Source organism: Homo sapiens, chromosome 17 (genome assembly GCF_000001405.40).
Source record: "Homo sapiens chromosome 17, GRCh38.p14 Primary Assembly".
Taxonomy (NCBI): Eukaryota; Metazoa; Chordata; class Mammalia; order Primates; family Hominidae; genus Homo; species Homo sapiens.
In genome coordinates this window covers 59,258,885-59,276,483 of record NC_000017.11, presented here as the reverse complement: position 1 = coordinate 59,276,483, position 17,599 = coordinate 59,258,885, and the positions used below count along the sequence as shown (strand labels likewise).

The 17,599-nt window shown below is 40.7% G+C and overlaps 1 protein-coding gene across 4 annotated transcripts in view; it reads right to left on the bottom strand.

Annotated features, from left to right (window-relative positions):
* Positions 1 to 513: 513 nt before the first annotated feature.
* Positions 514 to 17,599, bottom strand: part of GDPD1 (glycerophosphodiester phosphodiesterase domain containing 1) — a 55,460-nt gene continuing 38,374 nt past the window's right edge. For 2 of the 4 annotated variants that reach the window (NM_182569.4, XM_017024521.2), the window contains 4 exons: positions 9,310 to 9,443; positions 5,489 to 5,548; positions 3,648 to 3,699; positions 514 to 2,833 (listed from right to left, as the gene is read on the bottom strand). In NM_182569.4, coding sequence (NP_872375.2) covers positions 2,711 to 2,833; positions 3,648 to 3,699; positions 5,489 to 5,548; positions 9,310 to 9,443 — 369 coding nt within the window. In that variant the 3' untranslated portion in view covers positions 514 to 2,710. Of the gene's footprint in view, positions 2,834 to 3,462; positions 3,700 to 5,488; positions 5,549 to 9,309; positions 9,444 to 17,599 lie in introns of those variants that run through there. The other 2 variants (NM_001165993.2, NM_001165994.2) reach the window with 2 other exon arrangements.

The window sequence follows — 17,599 nt, the reverse complement described above, 5'->3', positions numbered from 1 at the left end:
GATGACCAACTTCCTTGTTAGAAAATACTATGTTTTTATTAAGAAAATTAAAGTCACCTTGACTATAAAATCACCAAACTTTTGAAACATTATTTTCTAAACATCTTTACCTTGTTGGGTACTTTTTCTTCTACTGGTTTACATAAAATATAAGCTGGCCCTTTAATATGATCTGTTCTGAATCATAACAAAGCAAAATTTAGAAAGGAGAAATAACAAAAAGAATTCTATCAAAGATGATCAAAATGATCCCTAGCAACTATAACCATAAGTTACAATAAGTGAAATTGAAAATGACTGATTCAGTGGATTACCCTCCCAAGTTATTTGTTCAAATGCCAAGAAGTAACTTTCTTACCATAAAAGTGTTTCCATATTTTCTTTTCTTTACTAGAGAGAAATCTCAGGTGCATTTATTATTCATATGATTAAAGCATCACCTCATTAAATTCTGCAAAAAAATCTATAAAGTATATTTGGAATTAAAACTGAAAAAGAATGAAGAATGCTTACTTTGTTCTTGGAAAACTTTATTTCAGTTTAAACAACAAAGCAAATGATATTTATGTCATCCAGGGACAGATAGGAGAGTACAGTCATTCTTCATAGCAGTTTCATTGCCAAACTCCAAATGAGAGATGTAATCTAGGTAAAAGACACTTATTATTCCAGATTACATTTACCTCACAATCTGAGATCATGAAAATTAGTCAAATATATTAGAAACAGATGTACACGAAGTCACCTCAGATAAACTGAGAAAGTGATGTCTAATGCTTTGGAAAATTCTGTTTCTACTTAATACTCAGATTAATGAGTTTTAAAGATCAGGAACATCTTTATGGGGGTTCATAAATGTTAGGAACAATGATATGCACTTTCATCAGTTTAATTATTAGGATTCAAGATGGTATTTAAAATCTAGATGTAGGCTCAGTTAGTCAGTGCCAAAAATGGAAATCTTACATTTTTTTAGAGGAAACACAAAAATATGACTATTTGGATCTTGTCTTAATTTACAACTGGTAAGTTCCTTTTTAATGCTTAAAAAAATGGACATGGTAGAATTGCTACACACCTGAAAAAGGTCTCAAATAGAATGTTCCATTAACAACAACAACTCAGAAATCTAATTCACTCTACAGATTTTATTTCTGATCAACTAATCAACTTTTATTTTCTTGAGCCTGGCTGCTGCTGATTATGTATAACTTGCCAAATAACTACACATCACTGATTTCCAAGCTTTTTTCCGTTTTATTTTTCCTCTTTAACTAAGGTACACCTAGAAATAACAAGACACTACCAAATAGCTGCAATGGCCTTCAAAATTTCTTTTACTGGCCGGGTGCAGTGGTTCAAACCTGTAATCCCAGCACTTTGAGAGGCCGAGGTGGGTGGATCACCTGAGGTCAGGAGTTCGAGACCAGTCTGGCCAACGTGGCAAAACCCTGTCTCTACTAAAAATACAAAAATTAGCTGGGCATGGTAGCAGGCACCTGTAATCCCAGGTACTCGGGAGGCAGAGGCAGGAGAATTGCTGGAACCTGGGAGGCAGAGGTTGCAGTGAGCCAAGATCGCACCACTGCACTCCGGCCTCGGCGACAGAGCAAGACTACATGTCAAAAAAAAAAAAAAAATCTTTTACTAATTGATTGTATTCCAGTGAAGACTATTGCCAATTTTTTTTCTTTTTTTCTTTTTTTGAGACGGAGTCTTGCTCTGTAGCCCAGGCTGGAGTGCAGTGGCGCGATCTCGGCTCACTGCAAGCTCCGCCTCCCGGGTTCACGCCATTCTCCTGACTCAGCCTCCCGAGTAGCTGGGACTAAGGTGCCCACCACCACGCCCAGCTAATTTTTTGTATTTTTAGTAGAGACGGGGTTTCACCATGTTAGCCAGGATGGTCTCGATCTCCTGACCTCGTGATCCGCCCGCCTCGGCCTCCCATTTTTTTTTTTTTTTTTTTTTTTTGAGACGGAGTCTCACTCTGTCTCCCAGGCTGGAGTGCAGTGGTGCTATCTTGGCTCACTACAGCCTCTGCCTCCCGGGTTCAAGCAATTCTTGTGCCTCAGCCTTAAGAGCTGCTGGGATGACAGACGTGTACCACCACGCATGGTTAATTTTTGTATTTTTGGTAGAGATGGGGTTTTGCCATGTTGGCCAGGCTGGTCTTTAACTCCTGACTTCAGATGATCCGCCTGTCTCAGCCTCCCAAAGTGCTGGGATTACAGGCATGAGCCACCACACTCAGCCCAATGCCAAATGTATCCAATAGTCTTTGATTCCAGAATTACTTATGATAGAACACTGCATCATCTACAGAAATCTTGATCAATAACCTAGATAACCTAGTTTCTAGGTTATTGATCAAGATTTCTGTAGATGATGTAGTATGTACATTTCTGTGTATGTTATTAATCAAGATTTCTGTATAAGATCTAGAAACAAAAATGCACATTAAGAAATTAAAACTTACATCTCATAACCAATTATCTTTCTAAACAATTTACAAACATAAAATATACAATATTATTTAAAATAAATATACATATAATATATAGTTTCTACATTCTCATACAGGCTTAAAAATGAGGTAATAAAAACTGATTAAACCTTTTACCATTCTGGAAATGGCTTAGGGAAATGATCATGAAATATTTTTTTCTTAGGTCTTCATTTTTTCCTTCAATACTTCTAAGTACCTCTTTTTCTATGCTGAAAAGTTATGTAAAAAATCCCTAAGCTTTGTTGGATAGTCTGTCATCACCCCAGTTGCTCCCAAATCAAAAGCTCTTTTGTATTCTTGTTCTTCATTTAATACCCAAATATACACCTGAAAATTAGAAGTGTGAGAAGTATGAGAAGAAATGTTAAAATAGAAAATTATTTTTATAACAGTATTTATCCACTACAGTCTTGGTACATTTAGAAATAACCTTTTAAAGCTATCATTTAAATAAATCATTAGATCCTTTTTTAAAATTCCACTTTGTTCCTTACAGGAATGAGGAGTGTTAAAAAAAAATTCATGGTGCTTGTTAAATATACAGACTCCTGGCTGAGCGCGGTGGCTCACGCCTGTAATTCCAGCACTTTGGGAGGCCAAGGCAGGCAGATCACCTGAGGTCCGGAGTTCGAGATCAGCCTGGCCAACATGGCAAAACCCAGTCTCTACTAAAAATACAAAAATTAGCCAGGTATGGTGGTGCATGCCTATAATCCCAGCTACTTAGGAGGCTGAGGCATGAGAATTGCTTGAACCTGGGAGGTGGAGGTTGCAGTGAGTCAAGACTGCACCACTGCACTCCAGCCTGGGTGACAGAGTGAGACTCCATCTCAAAAAAAAAAAAGAAAAAAGTAAAAAAAGAAATATACATACATATATTTATATATATATACACACACACAAACACTGTCCCACCCCTCTGGCATCAGCTATTCTGTACATAAGAGGAATCTAGATCCAGAAATGCCAATGCTTTATTGCTAAGTGTAAGGAAGAGCTTAAGGTCCTCATTTGTGGATCAGTAAAGCAGCAGCATCAGAGTCAAGGGCCAAACTAAGTCAGTTAAAAGTTCTTGCCCTTTATATTTGTGTTAAACTGGTGAGCTATGCTGCTTCCAAAATGCATCATTCCAGAAACTTACTTGAATGCCTCGAGCAGTTAGGTGGTCAAACAAAGCTTTCCTCATTAGTAAGCTAGAAAAGAAAAAGCAAAACTGATTTAGGAATTTAGTCCTTAGTCCTAATTTAGTCAATTTAGAGTTTAGTAATTCCAGTTTAATTTAATCCCAATGCTTCAGCAATAAAAGAAATGGTCTCAAGTAATAATAGCTGTTGTGAATTAATTTATGTCTTAATTGCTGGATCTCCTTTCACTGCAGGCTGCTGGTTGGTGGACAACCAGAACCTCCTTTCTACTTCTTGCTGCTACCAGATTCATAGGAGACCCATTCTTGTTGGCACAGCTCAATGGAAAAGAGGCTGCCTCATTTTCACTGCTGAAGAAGGAGAAAGAGCTGGCTTTCCTTTCTTACTATTAATGTGTGTTCCTAACTTTCCAAGTTAAAATAAGTCAACAAATGCAGGTCAATTTCTATAACATCATAGTTCATTACACAATGGATTAGTCTTTTGTAAGCGATGTTAGAAGCATTATGTCCATTAATTACACTATCCTATGTCTAGGGAAAAAATATTTTTTTGTTCCAAGTAACTCACTGATAAGTGAACTTTCAAAATACAAACCTCTTGAGCAAGATAGGAATTCATTGCACTGGAAAGACATTATTTCTATTCTGTTATGTCTATTAGAATGATTAAATAACAGAAACTAGAAATCATGTGCTTTTAACACCAATTAACAATGCATCTTGTCAGTTAATAGGGTTGAAAAAAGAAAAAAAATGCATCCTGGTTTTACTTGAGTACAAAAAAAAGGCATCCTTGAAAACTAGAGCTTAAATCAAGAATAAAGCAAAAAAGAATAAACACTGACAGAGAGAAAAGATAAAACTAATTGTTTAAGACTCTTTGAAAAAGGCGTTAAGGCTGGGCGCGGTGGCTCACACCTGTAATCCCAGCACTTTGGGAGGCTGAGGTGGGCAGATCACATGAGGCCAGGAGTTCGAGATCAGCCTGGCCAACATGATGAAACCTCATCTCTACTAAAAAATACAAAAACTAACCAGGCATGGTGGGAGGCACCTATAGTTCCAGCTACTCGGGAGGCTGAGGCAGAAGAATCACTTGAACCCAGGAAGCGGTGAGCCGAGATCACACCACTGCACTCCAGCCTGGGCGACAGAGAAAGACTCCATCTCAAAAAATGAATAAATAAATAAATAAAATAAAATAAAATAAAATAAAATAAAATAAGAAGAAAAGGCGTTAAATAATAAAAAGTTGTGATTTGGGACTATTAAAATATTTAAGCATTCAAGGTTCCATCTTAAAGCAAAATATAGTACAATTATTTAGTGATTTTTACTAAAATTAAACTCATCATGTCTAAATTAAGGCATTTACTTTAAAGTTGATATCCACTCTATAGGTGGGATTTCCTTTCTGCTGTTAAGTCTTGGTGCAGAGCAAATTTTTCTGAGAAATGTGCTGTAGGCAACATACACTTTTATATATACTGTGTTGCTACACTTCTTTTCACCAGCAAGTAAGCTAAAGGGAATGGTTATTTAACCTAGTTCTGCTACTAACTAGCTAGATAACCCCAAGTAAATAATTTAACTGGGTATATGGGGGCTCAGTTTTCTCATGAAGTTGGAGGACATTATCTCTCAAGATTCTTCCTAAGATTTTGTGATTAGTAATTAAGATATTTCTAAATGATTCATACACATTTTACATAGCAGGTGCTCAATTTGTCCTTGTTACAAATTACATGTGGAAAGCTTGCACAACATTTTAAGGGTAGTATTTAATAAATATAGCTGAAGCAATAACTTGCATATTAAGAAATTAAAATTCTTACAGATCAGAAAGCCAGATGAGAAACTTTTGACTTCTGGACATGGTGTGTGGTTCTTTTAGCCTAGGGTAAAATAAAGTTTGAATTACAAATTAGAAACACAGAAATATATCAGTGTGATAAAATGAAACAAATTCAAAAATGAAAACAGTGCCTTGTACTTTGTATATTCTCAAAAAATATTTGTAAAAAGGACAAAAATAAAATAAAGGCCAGTTGGGTTCTGTTTGCACTGGTCTCAAGCTAACTTTTTGCCATCCCTATTCAAAAGTAATAAATAAATAAATAAATAAATAAATGCATACATAAATAAATAAATATTGTCTTTCCAGAGACCCTGGTGCCCTAGGCTCATATCTCGTTTCTTTTTTGGTGAAATCTTTCTCCTGCTTTGTCTCCTACAATTTAGTATGTGGCAAATTTAAACATACAACGGAACTGTATTATAGATCAAAGTGAGCAGTTTACCACGTGTTTTCCTTTCCTTTAAAATATCTGTAGGCCAGGCATGGTGGCTCATGTCTGTAATCCCAGCACTTTGGGAGGCTGAGGCTGGTGCATCACCTGAGTTCAGAAGTTCCAGACCAGCCTGGCCAACATAGTGAAACCCCCCCCCGTCTCTACTAAAAACATAAAAATTAGCCGGGCATGGTGGCGCACACCTGTAATCACAGCTACTCAGGAGCCGGAGACAGGAGAACTGCTTGAACCCAGGAGGCAGAGGTTGCAGTGAGCCAAGACTGCGCCACTGCACTCCAGCCTGGGTGACAAAGTAAAACTCTGTCTCAAAAAAAAAAAAAAGTACAAAATAAAGTACAAGTCCTTTTTTCCCTAACTCTGGCCCCAGTGGAAAGTCCTGGTTGCAATTTCAGGAATATTAGGGATTTAGTAGCTCAAATACTGATTACCTCATTAAACAATCACTATATTGTCTTAGAAAATATCCATTGTCTTCTATAGAAGTATTAAAACACACAAAATATATCCTGCTTGTGTCTTAATCCATAATCACTTTTTAGAGAAAATATTAATTCTGTGGAGTTTGTTCTTATGTCTGTATTTCAACAATATTTGCTTCTAAAAGGAACATATGAAGATAAATATAGAGCAAACAGTCCACTCCAGGCCAGAGGAAAGCTAAGTACTTTAGGAATAAATGTTTTATTTATTTATTTATTGGCAGAGTCTTGCTCTGTCACCCAGGCTGGAGTGCAATGGCGCTATCTCGGCTCACTGCAACCCCCACCTTCTGGGTTCAAGCGATTCTCCTGCCTCAGCCTCCTGAGTAGCTGGGATTACAGATGTGCGCCACCATGCCCAGCTAATTTTGTATTTTTAGTAGAGATGGGAGTTTCACCATGTTGGCCAGGCTGGTATGGAACTCCCGACCTCAGGTGATCCGCCTGCCTCTGCCTCCCAAAGTGCTGAGATTACAGGCAGGAGCCCCTGGCCCAGCCAGGAATAAATGTTTAGGGATCATTTTAATCTAGCAAATAAAATAGGGTGTTTTTTGGGGGGGGGGGTAGACAAGAAGCGTTTTCTATTGTTTTGTCTGAGAAACAGCTACAAAGATGTTCATAAATATAATTTAGGAATAAATAAAATAAACATGTTTATCACTAAGATACTGAAATTGGAAAACAGGCATGAAATAGAAGTTGAGCACAAGAGTACTGACTAAATTGTTTTTCTTTTCTTTTCTTTTTTGAGACAGAGTCTTGCTCTGTCGCCCAGGCTAGAGTGCAGCCATCTCGACTCACTGCAACCTCCACCTCTGGGGTTCAAGCGACTCTCTTGCCTCAGCCTCCCGAGTAACTGAGATTACAGGTGTCTGCCACTGTGCCCGGCTAATTTTTGTATTTTTAGTAGAGACGGGGTTTCACCATGTTGGCTAGGCTGGTGTTGAACTCCTGACTTTGTGATCCACCCGCCTCAGCCTCCCACAGTGCTGGGATTACAGGCATGAGCCACCACGCCCGGCCAATTGTTTTTCTTTCTTATTTTTTTTTGAGAAGGAGTCTCGCTCTGTCGCTCAGGCTGGAGTGCAGTGGCGCGATCTTGGCTCACCGCAACTTCTGCCCCCCGTGTTCAGGCGAGCCTGGCTAATTTTTGTATTTTCAGTAGAGATGGGGTTTCACCATGTTGGCCAGGCTGGTCTCAAACTCCTGACCTCGTGATCCTCCTGCCTCGGCCTCCCAAAATGTTGGGATTACAGGCGTGAGCCACTGCACCTGGCCTGCTTTTCTTAGCAATATTGTCTGATGACTGCTACACTAACGTTCAGCTTTATTTTTTTCCCCCAAGTCATTACCTTTATTGAGACATGCTATAAAAGAGGAAAGCTCTTCAGCTTGATTTTTTAAAGTTCTGTTGGATATGAAAAGTGTTTTCTTTTCTTTTTTTTTTTTTTTTTTTTTTTTGAGACAGAGTCTCGCTCTGTCGCCCAGGCTGGAGTGCAGTGGCGCAATCTCCGCTCACTGCAAGCTCTGCCTCCCAGGCTCACGCCATTCTCCTGCCTCAGCCTCCGGAGTAGCTGGGACTACAGGCGCCCGCCACCACGCCCGGAGAATTTTTTTTTGTATTTTTAGTGGAGACGGGGTTTCACCGTGTTAGCCAGGATGGTCTCGATCTCCTGACCTCGTGATCCACCCTCCTTGGCCTCCCAAAGTGCTGGGATTACAGGCGTGAGCCACCGCGCCCGGCCATGAAAAGTGTTTTCATGCAAATAAAATCACATTTAAATCATCTCCCCAACGATTCCAAATTCCTTTGCCATAATTCAGTTATGAATCTACAGCTAGAAATCACATTCTACGTGTGTAGAATTTTGAGATGAAGCTATCATTCTTTATAATAACAAAGATAACAATAAAAGCTATCACTCTTGAGTGCTTAGTATTTGTCAGGCAATCTAAGTGTTTTTATGTACCTATGTATTTTTACAATCTATGTATTTTTATCTTGCTAGTAAATTAGCAAGTGAAATGCAAGGCTTTTCTAGTAGTGGAATTACGTAAATATAAAAGGATCCTGGCTGGGCAAGGCGGGTCACGCCTATAATCCCAGCACTTTGGGAGGAGGTGGGTGGATCATCTGAGGTAAGGAGTTGGAGACCAGCCTGACCAACATGGTGAAGCCCCATCTCTACTAAAACTACAAAAATTAGCCAGGCAAGGTGGTGGGCGCCTATAATCCCAGCTACTCGGGAGGCTGAGGCAGGAGAATCACTTGAACCCGGGAGGCAGAGGTTGCAGTGAGTCGAGATCACACCTTTGCACCCCAGCCTAGGCCACAACAGCAAAACTCCATCTCAAAAAAAAAAAAACAAAAAACCACTATAAAAACAGTATCCTATATAAACTAACTATACCCTTTTATTTTCCTATCTCCAGAGGTTTTTATGGTGGTGGTGGTTTTTTCTTCCTAAATGTATTACAGTAATACCATTGTTTAATTTGGAGTTTAATGGAATTTGAGCTGGGTAAAGCTGTCAATGAAGTAGAAAGCAATAAGGGAAAGTGGAGGGCAACTGCTATTTGATGTGAGAATAAAATAATTATTTACCTTCTGTAATTAAATTAAATTCCTTTTATCTGATTTCTGACTATACAGGCACAGAAAATCATAATCTGAGATGGGTCCTGATTATTTGTTTTAGAGAATGTGTCTTAATTATATAAAAATGCATAATATAGGTCAGGTAATAGAACATGGAAATCACTACAGAAATCTCTTCTTCATCATTGATATTGATATTAGTGAGCTTTTATCTTAGTCTTTCTGTAATTGATAATTGATTTTAAAATAAAAGGGTAACCACTTACTTCAGTATAATAGAAGGCATTGGGATTTCAAAAAACTGTTCTCGAATGGGCACAAAGGGCAAGAGGCCAGTGAAGAAAAGGCCAAGAATGAGCAGGACACGTTGTAGACTGAAGAGTATAGGAATATCTGAATTCTAAAAGACACAAGCAATATTACATGTTATTTTTACAACTGCTCAAATAAAGAGGATTACTTCACAACTCTCAGTATTTCCCAAGACAATGTGTTGAAATCTATTACAAGCATTCCTGGGATTATGAATATTCATTTGCAAATAACACCACACTTAATAGTGGCTAGTCCTTGATAAATGGGTCAGGATTGATCTTGGAGCCTCATAGTATAATGATGTTACTAAAATTTCTCTATTACCGTCTCTGCTTTTGCAATACCACTTCTGCGTTGGTTACAGTACTTACAGCTAAAGACTAAACATGTCAGAATCCAATGGAACAAAATGAAAAGATGAATATATGGAATATTCAGTAACTTTACTCCTGTTTAAAAAATATGTAGCTATATATCTCTATATATGAGTATATATAGATACATATCAATACTGTTGCAAATGTGTCATCTTTTAGCTATGTTATGAATCAAATATAAAATATAAATAGGATTTGTAAACTAATCCAAGAATCTAACCACCATTTTAAGTTTCTATTGGAAAATATGCTCAATATCCCAAAACTTTAAAAATACAAGATAGACATACATATATATATAATTTTAATTGTGCTAAAATACACATAACACAAAATTTAAGATTTTTTTTTTTTTTTTTTTGAGACGGAGTCTCACTCTGTCACCCAGGTTGGAGTGCAGTGGCACAATATCGGCTCACTGAAACCTCTGCCTCCTGAGTTCAAGCAATTCTCCTGCCTCAGCCCCCCAAGTAGCTAAGATTACAGGCGCACACCACCATGCCCAGCTAATTTTTTGTAGTTTTAGTAGAGATGTGGTTTCACCATGTTGGCCAGGCTGGTCTCAAACTCCTGACCTCAGATGATCTGCCCACCTTGGCCTCCCAAAGTGTTGGGATTACAAGTGTGAGCCACCGCACCAGCCAAATTTAAGATCTTAATCATTTTTTAAATCTATTTTCTCACCACCCCCACCCCCCGCCACCCAGCAAAATTGAATGTCAATCATTTTTAAATGTACAGTTTGGTGGTTTTAAGTATATTCACACTGTTGTGCAACCAAAGTCCAGAAGTCTTTTCATTTTGCAAAAGTGAAAACAACTCTATGCCTTTTTTTTTTTTTTTTTTTGAGATAAGGTCTCACTGTCACCCAGGCTGGAGTGCAGTGGCACAACCAAAGCTCACTGCATCCTCGACCCTGGCTCAGGCAATACTCCCACCTCAGCCTCCTGAGTTGTAATAGATGGGACTACAGGTGTGTGCCACCATGCCCAGCTACTTTTTTTGGTATTTTTTGTAGATATGAGGTTTCACCATGTCACCCAGGCTGGTCTCGAACTCCTGGGCTCAAGCAATCCACCTGCCTCAGCCTCTCAAAGTGCTGGGAATACAGGTGTGAGCCACCTTGCCTGGCCAACTTTATACCATTAAATAACAAATCTCCATTCCCTCTCTCCTTGCCCTCCTATGTGTACTATATATAGATATATATATATTAGACAGGGTCTCGCTGTCACCCAGGCTAGAGTACAGTGGCTGGATCATGGCTCATTGAAGCCTAGATCTCCCAGGCTCAAGTGATCCCACACCTCAGACTCCCAAACAGCTGGGACTACAGACATGCACCACCATGCCGAGCTAATTTTTTAAAAATTTTTTGTAGAGACAGAATCTCATTATATTGCCTAGGCTGGTCTTGAACTCCTGGGCACAAGCATTTCTCCTACCTCAGCCTCCCAAAGTGCTGGAATGACAAGCGTGAGCTACCATGCCAGGCCCTGCTATATTTACTGGAAAAAAAAATTATGCTTACAGTGAACTTTTAATAAAAACATAATATATATTTTTAAAAATCACATAAAAATAATTTATTTTAAATAGTTAGTTCTAGGCTGGGCGCGGTTGCTCACGCCTGTAATCCCAGCACTTTGGGAGGCCAAGGCGGGTGGATCACTTGAAGTCATGACTTCGAGACCAGCCTGGCCAACATGGTGAAATCCTGCCTCTACTAAAAATACAAAAATTAGCCGGGCGTGGTGGCGTACAACTGTAACCCCAGCTACTCGGGAGGCTGAGGCAGGAGAATCTCTTGAACCCAGGAGGTGGAGCTTGCAGTGAGCCAAGATTGAGCCACTGCACTACAGCCTAGGTGACAGAGTGAGACTCTGTCTCAAATTAAAAAATTATATAAATAAATAAATAGTTCTAAATTATCTACTCCTTTATTTTTTTAAAAAATAGAGTAAATAAGTTTGAGAATTTATTTTGCCCCTTTGTTTACATGGTGCTTTGTAATGTTCTTGGCTTACTTACATACAGGTGTTTCAGCTGTAACAAAATATACAAGTCACTGCAAAATCTTGAGTTTTGCAAAATCATACACTAAGGATAACAGAGCTTATGGGAAAACAGGGTTAGGGGCTGACCCTCAAAACTTACAGCCAGGTGCGGTGACTCACACTTGTAATCCCAGCACTTTGGGAGGCCAAGACGGGTGGATCACTTGAGGTCAGGAGTTCGAGACCAGTCTGGCCAACATGATGAAACTCTCTCTACTAAGAATACAAAAATTAGCCAGGCGTGATGGCAGGCACCTGTAATCCCAGCTAGTCTGGAGGCTGAGGCAGGAGAATTGCTTGAACCTGGGAGGTGGAGGTTGCAGTGAGCTGAGATCGTGCCACTGCACCCCAGTGTGGGCAAGAGTGAGACTCTGTCTCAAAAAAAAAAACTTGGCTGGGCACAGTGGCTCATGCCTGTAATCCCGACACTTTGGGAGGCTGAGGCGGGTGGATCATCTGAGGTCAGGAATTCAAGACCAGCCTGACCAACATGGAGAAACCCGGTCTCTACTAAAAAATACAAAAATTAGCCAGGCATGGTGACGTGTGCCTGTAATCCCAGCTACTCAGGAGGCTGAGACAGGAGAATTGCTTGAACCCAGCAGGCGGAGGTTGCGGTGAGCCAAGATTGCACCACTGCACTCCAGCCTGGGTGACAGAGCGACATTCTGTCTCAAAACATAAAATAAAATAAAATTAAATTAAAAATACTTATGCAACTTTGGAACCACAGCACTAAAAGAAAGAACCACTGCGTTAAGTGTGAATGAATGAAAAGTCATTAAGCGCCACATTTTCCCACTACCACTGTGTGCCCCAATTCCTTTAATGTTTATATTTTGGGTTTACATCTGGAAATTAAAAGGCTGATGTAAAATTCTTATAAATCATACTGTAAGAATTGCAAAAGTAGGCTGGGCGTGGTGGCTCACACCTGTAATCCCAGCACTTTGGGAGGCCGAGGCAGGTGGATCACCTGAGGTTGGGAGTTCAAGACCGGCCTGACCAACATAGAGAAACCCCGTCTCTACTAAAAATACAAAAAATTAGCTGGGCGTGGTGGTGCATGCCTGTAATCCCAGCTACTCGGGAGGCTGAGGGAGGAGAATCGCTTGAACCCGGGAGGTGGAGGTTGTGGTGAGCCGAGATTGCGCCATTGCACTCCAGCCTGGGCAACCAGAGTGAAACTCCGTCTCAAAAAAAAAAAAGGAAAGGAAAAAAAGAATTGCAAAAGTTGTATCAATTATATAGTATGTTGGCAATATGAAAGACAAATTTTATTGAGACATTTTTACTGTGATGTTTGGAAAAGTATGGAAATCAAGGGAAAAGTTCTATGATTACAGGCCAAAAGTGAGCCTTTTATTTTGAAAGAATTATAGACTTAATCTCAGCACTTTGGGAGAATGAGACAAGAGGATTGCTTGAGCCTAGGAGTTTGAGACCAGCCTGGGCAATACAGAGAGACTCCATCTCTACAAAAAATTTCAAAATTAGCCAGGCATGGTGGTACATACCTGTAGTATAGTATAGTCCCATGTGGCCTTCACCCAGCTTCCTCAAAAGGTGACACTTGATGTAACTATACTATAGTATCAAGACCTGGAATTGACATTGGTACCTTACTGTTCATTAGACTACATAATTTATTCAATTTTCATCATTTTTTAAACACCGCATTCATTTGTGTGTGTGTAGTTCTATGCAGTTTTAACCCATGTATAGATTCATGTAACCACTACCGCAATCAAGATACAAAGCTGTGGCCGGGCACGGTGGCTCATGCCTGTAATCCCAGCACTGTGGGAGGCCGAGGTGGGCGGATCACCTGAGGTCGGGAGTTTGTGACCAGCCTGACCAACATGGTGAAACCCTATCTCTACTAAAAATACAAAAATTAGGCAGGCTTAGTGGCGGGCGCCTGTAATCCCAGCTACTCGGGAGGCTGAAGCGGGAAAATCGCTTGAACCCGGAAGGCGGAGGTTGCAGTGAGCCAAGATCGCACCATTGCACTCCAGCCTGGGTGACAGAGTGAGTCTCAAAAAAAAAAAACAAAAAAAAACAAAACCAAGATACAAAGCCGTTTCATCACTACACAAGAAATCTCTTGTAGTGGTACCCACTCTCTACCCTACCCTAAGTCCCTGTCCCCTAAATCTGCTCTTCCAGGCTACAGTTAATGGAATCTACAATACAGTTTGAGGTTGATTTTTTTCACTAAGCATAATGTCTTTGAGGACCATCCAGTTCGTTGCATGTATCAATAGTTCATTCCCTTTTAGTGCTGAATAATATTCCATTGTATGGAAATGTCAGAGTTTGTTCAGTCATTTACCCACTGAAGGACATTTAGGTTATTTTCAGGATTTTGCTTTGATGAATAAAGTTGCTATAAACATTCATGTATAGGTTTTAGGGAATGTGCCTTCATTTTACATGGAAGGCTGCATCTCCCTGGTAACGTATTTTTATTTTTAAAAAAATGCCTGTACGCCTGTAATCCCAGCACTTTGGGAGGCCGAGGCGGGCGGATCACGAGGTCAGGAGATCGAGACCATCCCGGCTAAAACGGTGAAACCCCGTCTCTACTAAAAATACAAAAAAAAATTAGCCGGGCGTAGTGGCGGGCGCCTGTAGTCCCAGCTACTTGGGAGGCTGAGGCAGGAGAATGGCGTGAACCCGGGAGGCGGAGCTTGCAGTGAGCCGAGATCCCGCCACTGCACTCCAGCCTGGGCGACAGAGCGAGACTCCGTCTCAAAAAAAAAAAAAAAAAAAAAAGCCTGTAATCTCAGCACTTTGGGAAAACGAGACAAGAGGATTGCTTGAGCCTAGGAGTTTGAGACCAGCTTGGCCAATACAGTGAGACTCCATCTCTACAAAAAATTTAAAAATTAGCCAGGCATGGTGGTACATACCTGTAGTCCCAGCTACTCAAAAGGCTGAGGTGGGAGGATCACTTGAGGCCAGGAATTCAGGATCAACCTGGGCAACAAAGTGAGACCCTGTCTCTGCAAAAAAAAATCAAAAAATTTGCCAGGCATGATGGCATGCACCTGTAGTCCAAGCTACACAGGAGGCTGAGGCAGGAGACCATCTGAACCCAGGAAGTCAAGGCTGCAGTGAACCAAGATCACACCACTGCACTCCAGCCTCAGTGACAGAGCAAGTCCTTGTTTTAAATAATAATAATAATAATAATAAAATAAATCATTAAATTAAAAAAAATCATTTATAGGTTTTTGTAAGCATGTATTTCATTTTTCTGGGATAAATGCCTAAGATTGCTGGGAGTTATGGAAGAGTCTAAGTTCTAAGTTCTTAGGAATCTAAAGCCACTCAGTCCAGTGATTGCTCTGTTCTTCCCTTTTGTACACAGCTACCTTGGGATCTCTCAGCCCCTGCTGCACATAAAACATACTTGCTTTAGGCCAGGTGTGGTGGCTTACACTTGTAATACCAGCACTTTGGGAGGCCGAGGCAGGCAGATCACTTGAGGTCAGGAGTTCGAGACCAGCCTGGCCAACATGGCGAAACCCCATCTCTACTAAAGATACAAAAATTAGCTGGGCATGGCAGCACGCACCTGCAATCCCAGCTAGTCGGGAGTCTGAGGCAGGAGAACCTCTTGAACCCAGGAGACAGAGGTTGCAGTGAGCCTAAATCATGCAACTGCACTCCAGCCTGAGTTGGAGTCTCCAAAACAACAACCACAACAAACTTACTTGCTTTAGTGGGAATCTCAATTATACTCTGAATTGTGATGATGCTGACTGTGCATGTTTTTGCCTTCTCTGTTAGGAAGGAAGGCTTGCCCAAAGAGGTTGTTTGTTTTGTTTCTTTGTTTTTTAAGACTAGTCAAATGAAGCAGTGGGAGTGGAGAAATAAAGAAATCTGTAACTGGTTGTAATCAATTAATTGTAAACACCATTACACTCAGATCAGCCACCAAAGAGTTCTTTGTATTTGAAAATTGCTACTTACATCATGATATTTCTTCTATATTACAGATTATTTCAGCATCTTCAATGCTCAAGATTTTTTAACATCTTAAATTTCAAATTCTCTTACCTGATGATGTATGTAAACTTGATTATGAAGGTTTAACTATCATTTTAAAGCATATAAAATTAATTTTTATACACTTTTTTTTTTAGAAGAGTCTCGGTCTCTTGCCCAGGCTGGAGTGCAGTGGTGCGATCCCAGCTCATTGCAACCTCTGCCTCCTGGGTTCAAGCCATTCTCCTGCCTCAGCCTCCTGAGTTGCTGGGATTACAGGTGCGCACCACCATGCCCGGCTAATTTTTGTATTTTTAGTAGAGATGGGGTTTCACCATGTTGGCCAGACTGGCTTCAGACTCCTGACCTCAGGTGATCCACCCGCCTCAGCCTCCCAAAGTGCTGGGATTACAAGCGTGAGCCACTGTGCCTGGCCGACATATTTTCTTTAACCAGAAAATTTTCAGTGGGTAGATAGATGGTCCTGCTTTTATATCTTGCTTAATAATCATGATCTTGCATGATCTTGGCTTAACTTGCTTAAATCTATTTGGAAGTTTAGGGTAAAAAGAAGCTAAAGCTATAGATAATAGGATTTTTTTTTTTTTTTTTTTTTTTTTTTTTTTTTTTTTTTTGAGACAGGGTCTGGCTCCGTCACCCAGGCTGGAGTGCAGTGGCAGGATCTTGGCTCACTGCAACCTCTGTCTACTAGGCTCAAGCCATCCTTCCACCTCAGCTTCCCAAGTAGCTGAGACTACAGGCATGTGCCACCATGCCTAGCCAGTTTTTGTATTTTTAGTAGAGATGGGGTTTCCTCATGTTCCCTAGGCTGGTCTCAAACTCCTGGGCTCAAAGTGATCTGTCCGCCTTGGCCTCCCAAAGTGCTGGGATTACAGGGGTGTGAGCCACTTAGCCTGACCCTAAATAATTTCTTTTCCTTTCTTTTTTTTTTTTTTTGAGATGGAGTCTTGTTCTGTCACCCAGGCTGGTGACATCTCGGCTCACTGCAACCTCTGCTTTCCAGGTTCAAGCAATTCTCCTGCCTCAGCCTCCCTAGAAGTTGGAATTACAGGAGCACGCCACCACGCCTGGCTATTTTTTGTATTTTTTTTTTTTTTTTTTTTTTTTTGAGACAGAGTCTTGCTCTGTCACCCAGGCTGGAGTGCAGTGGTGCGATCTCGGCTCACTGCAAGCTCTGCCTCCCGGGTTCACGCCATTCTCCTGCCTCAGCCTCCTGAGTAGCTGGGACTACAGGCGCCCACCACTACGCCTGGCTAATTTTTTGTATTTTTAGTACAGACGGGGTTTCACCGCGTTAGCCAGGATGGTCTCAATCTCCCAACCTCGTGATCCGCCCTCCTCGGCCTCCCAAAGTGCTGGGATTACAGGCGTGAGCCACCGCGCCCGGCCTCTATTTTTTGTATTTTTAATAGAGATGGGGTTTTGCCATGTTCGCCAGGCTGGTCTTGAACTCCTGACCTCAGGTGATCCGCCTGCCTCGGCCTCCCAAAGTGCTGGGATTACAGGGGCGAGCCACTGTGCCCAGGATTTTTTTTTTTTTAATAGAGTTAGAAGTCTTACTATGTTGCCCAGGCTGGTCTCAAATTCCTGGCCTCAAGCAATCTTCACCCCTTAAATAATTTCTTTCTTAAAAAAAAAATAGGCACATGTTCTCAGGATCTCCTGAGGGCTGTGTTACAGGCAAAAGAAAATTAAAAATAATTAATAATAATAATAATAGAAAGGGGGTCTCACTATGTTGTCCAGGCTGGTCTCAAACACCTGGGCTCAAGCAATCCTCCCACTTTGGC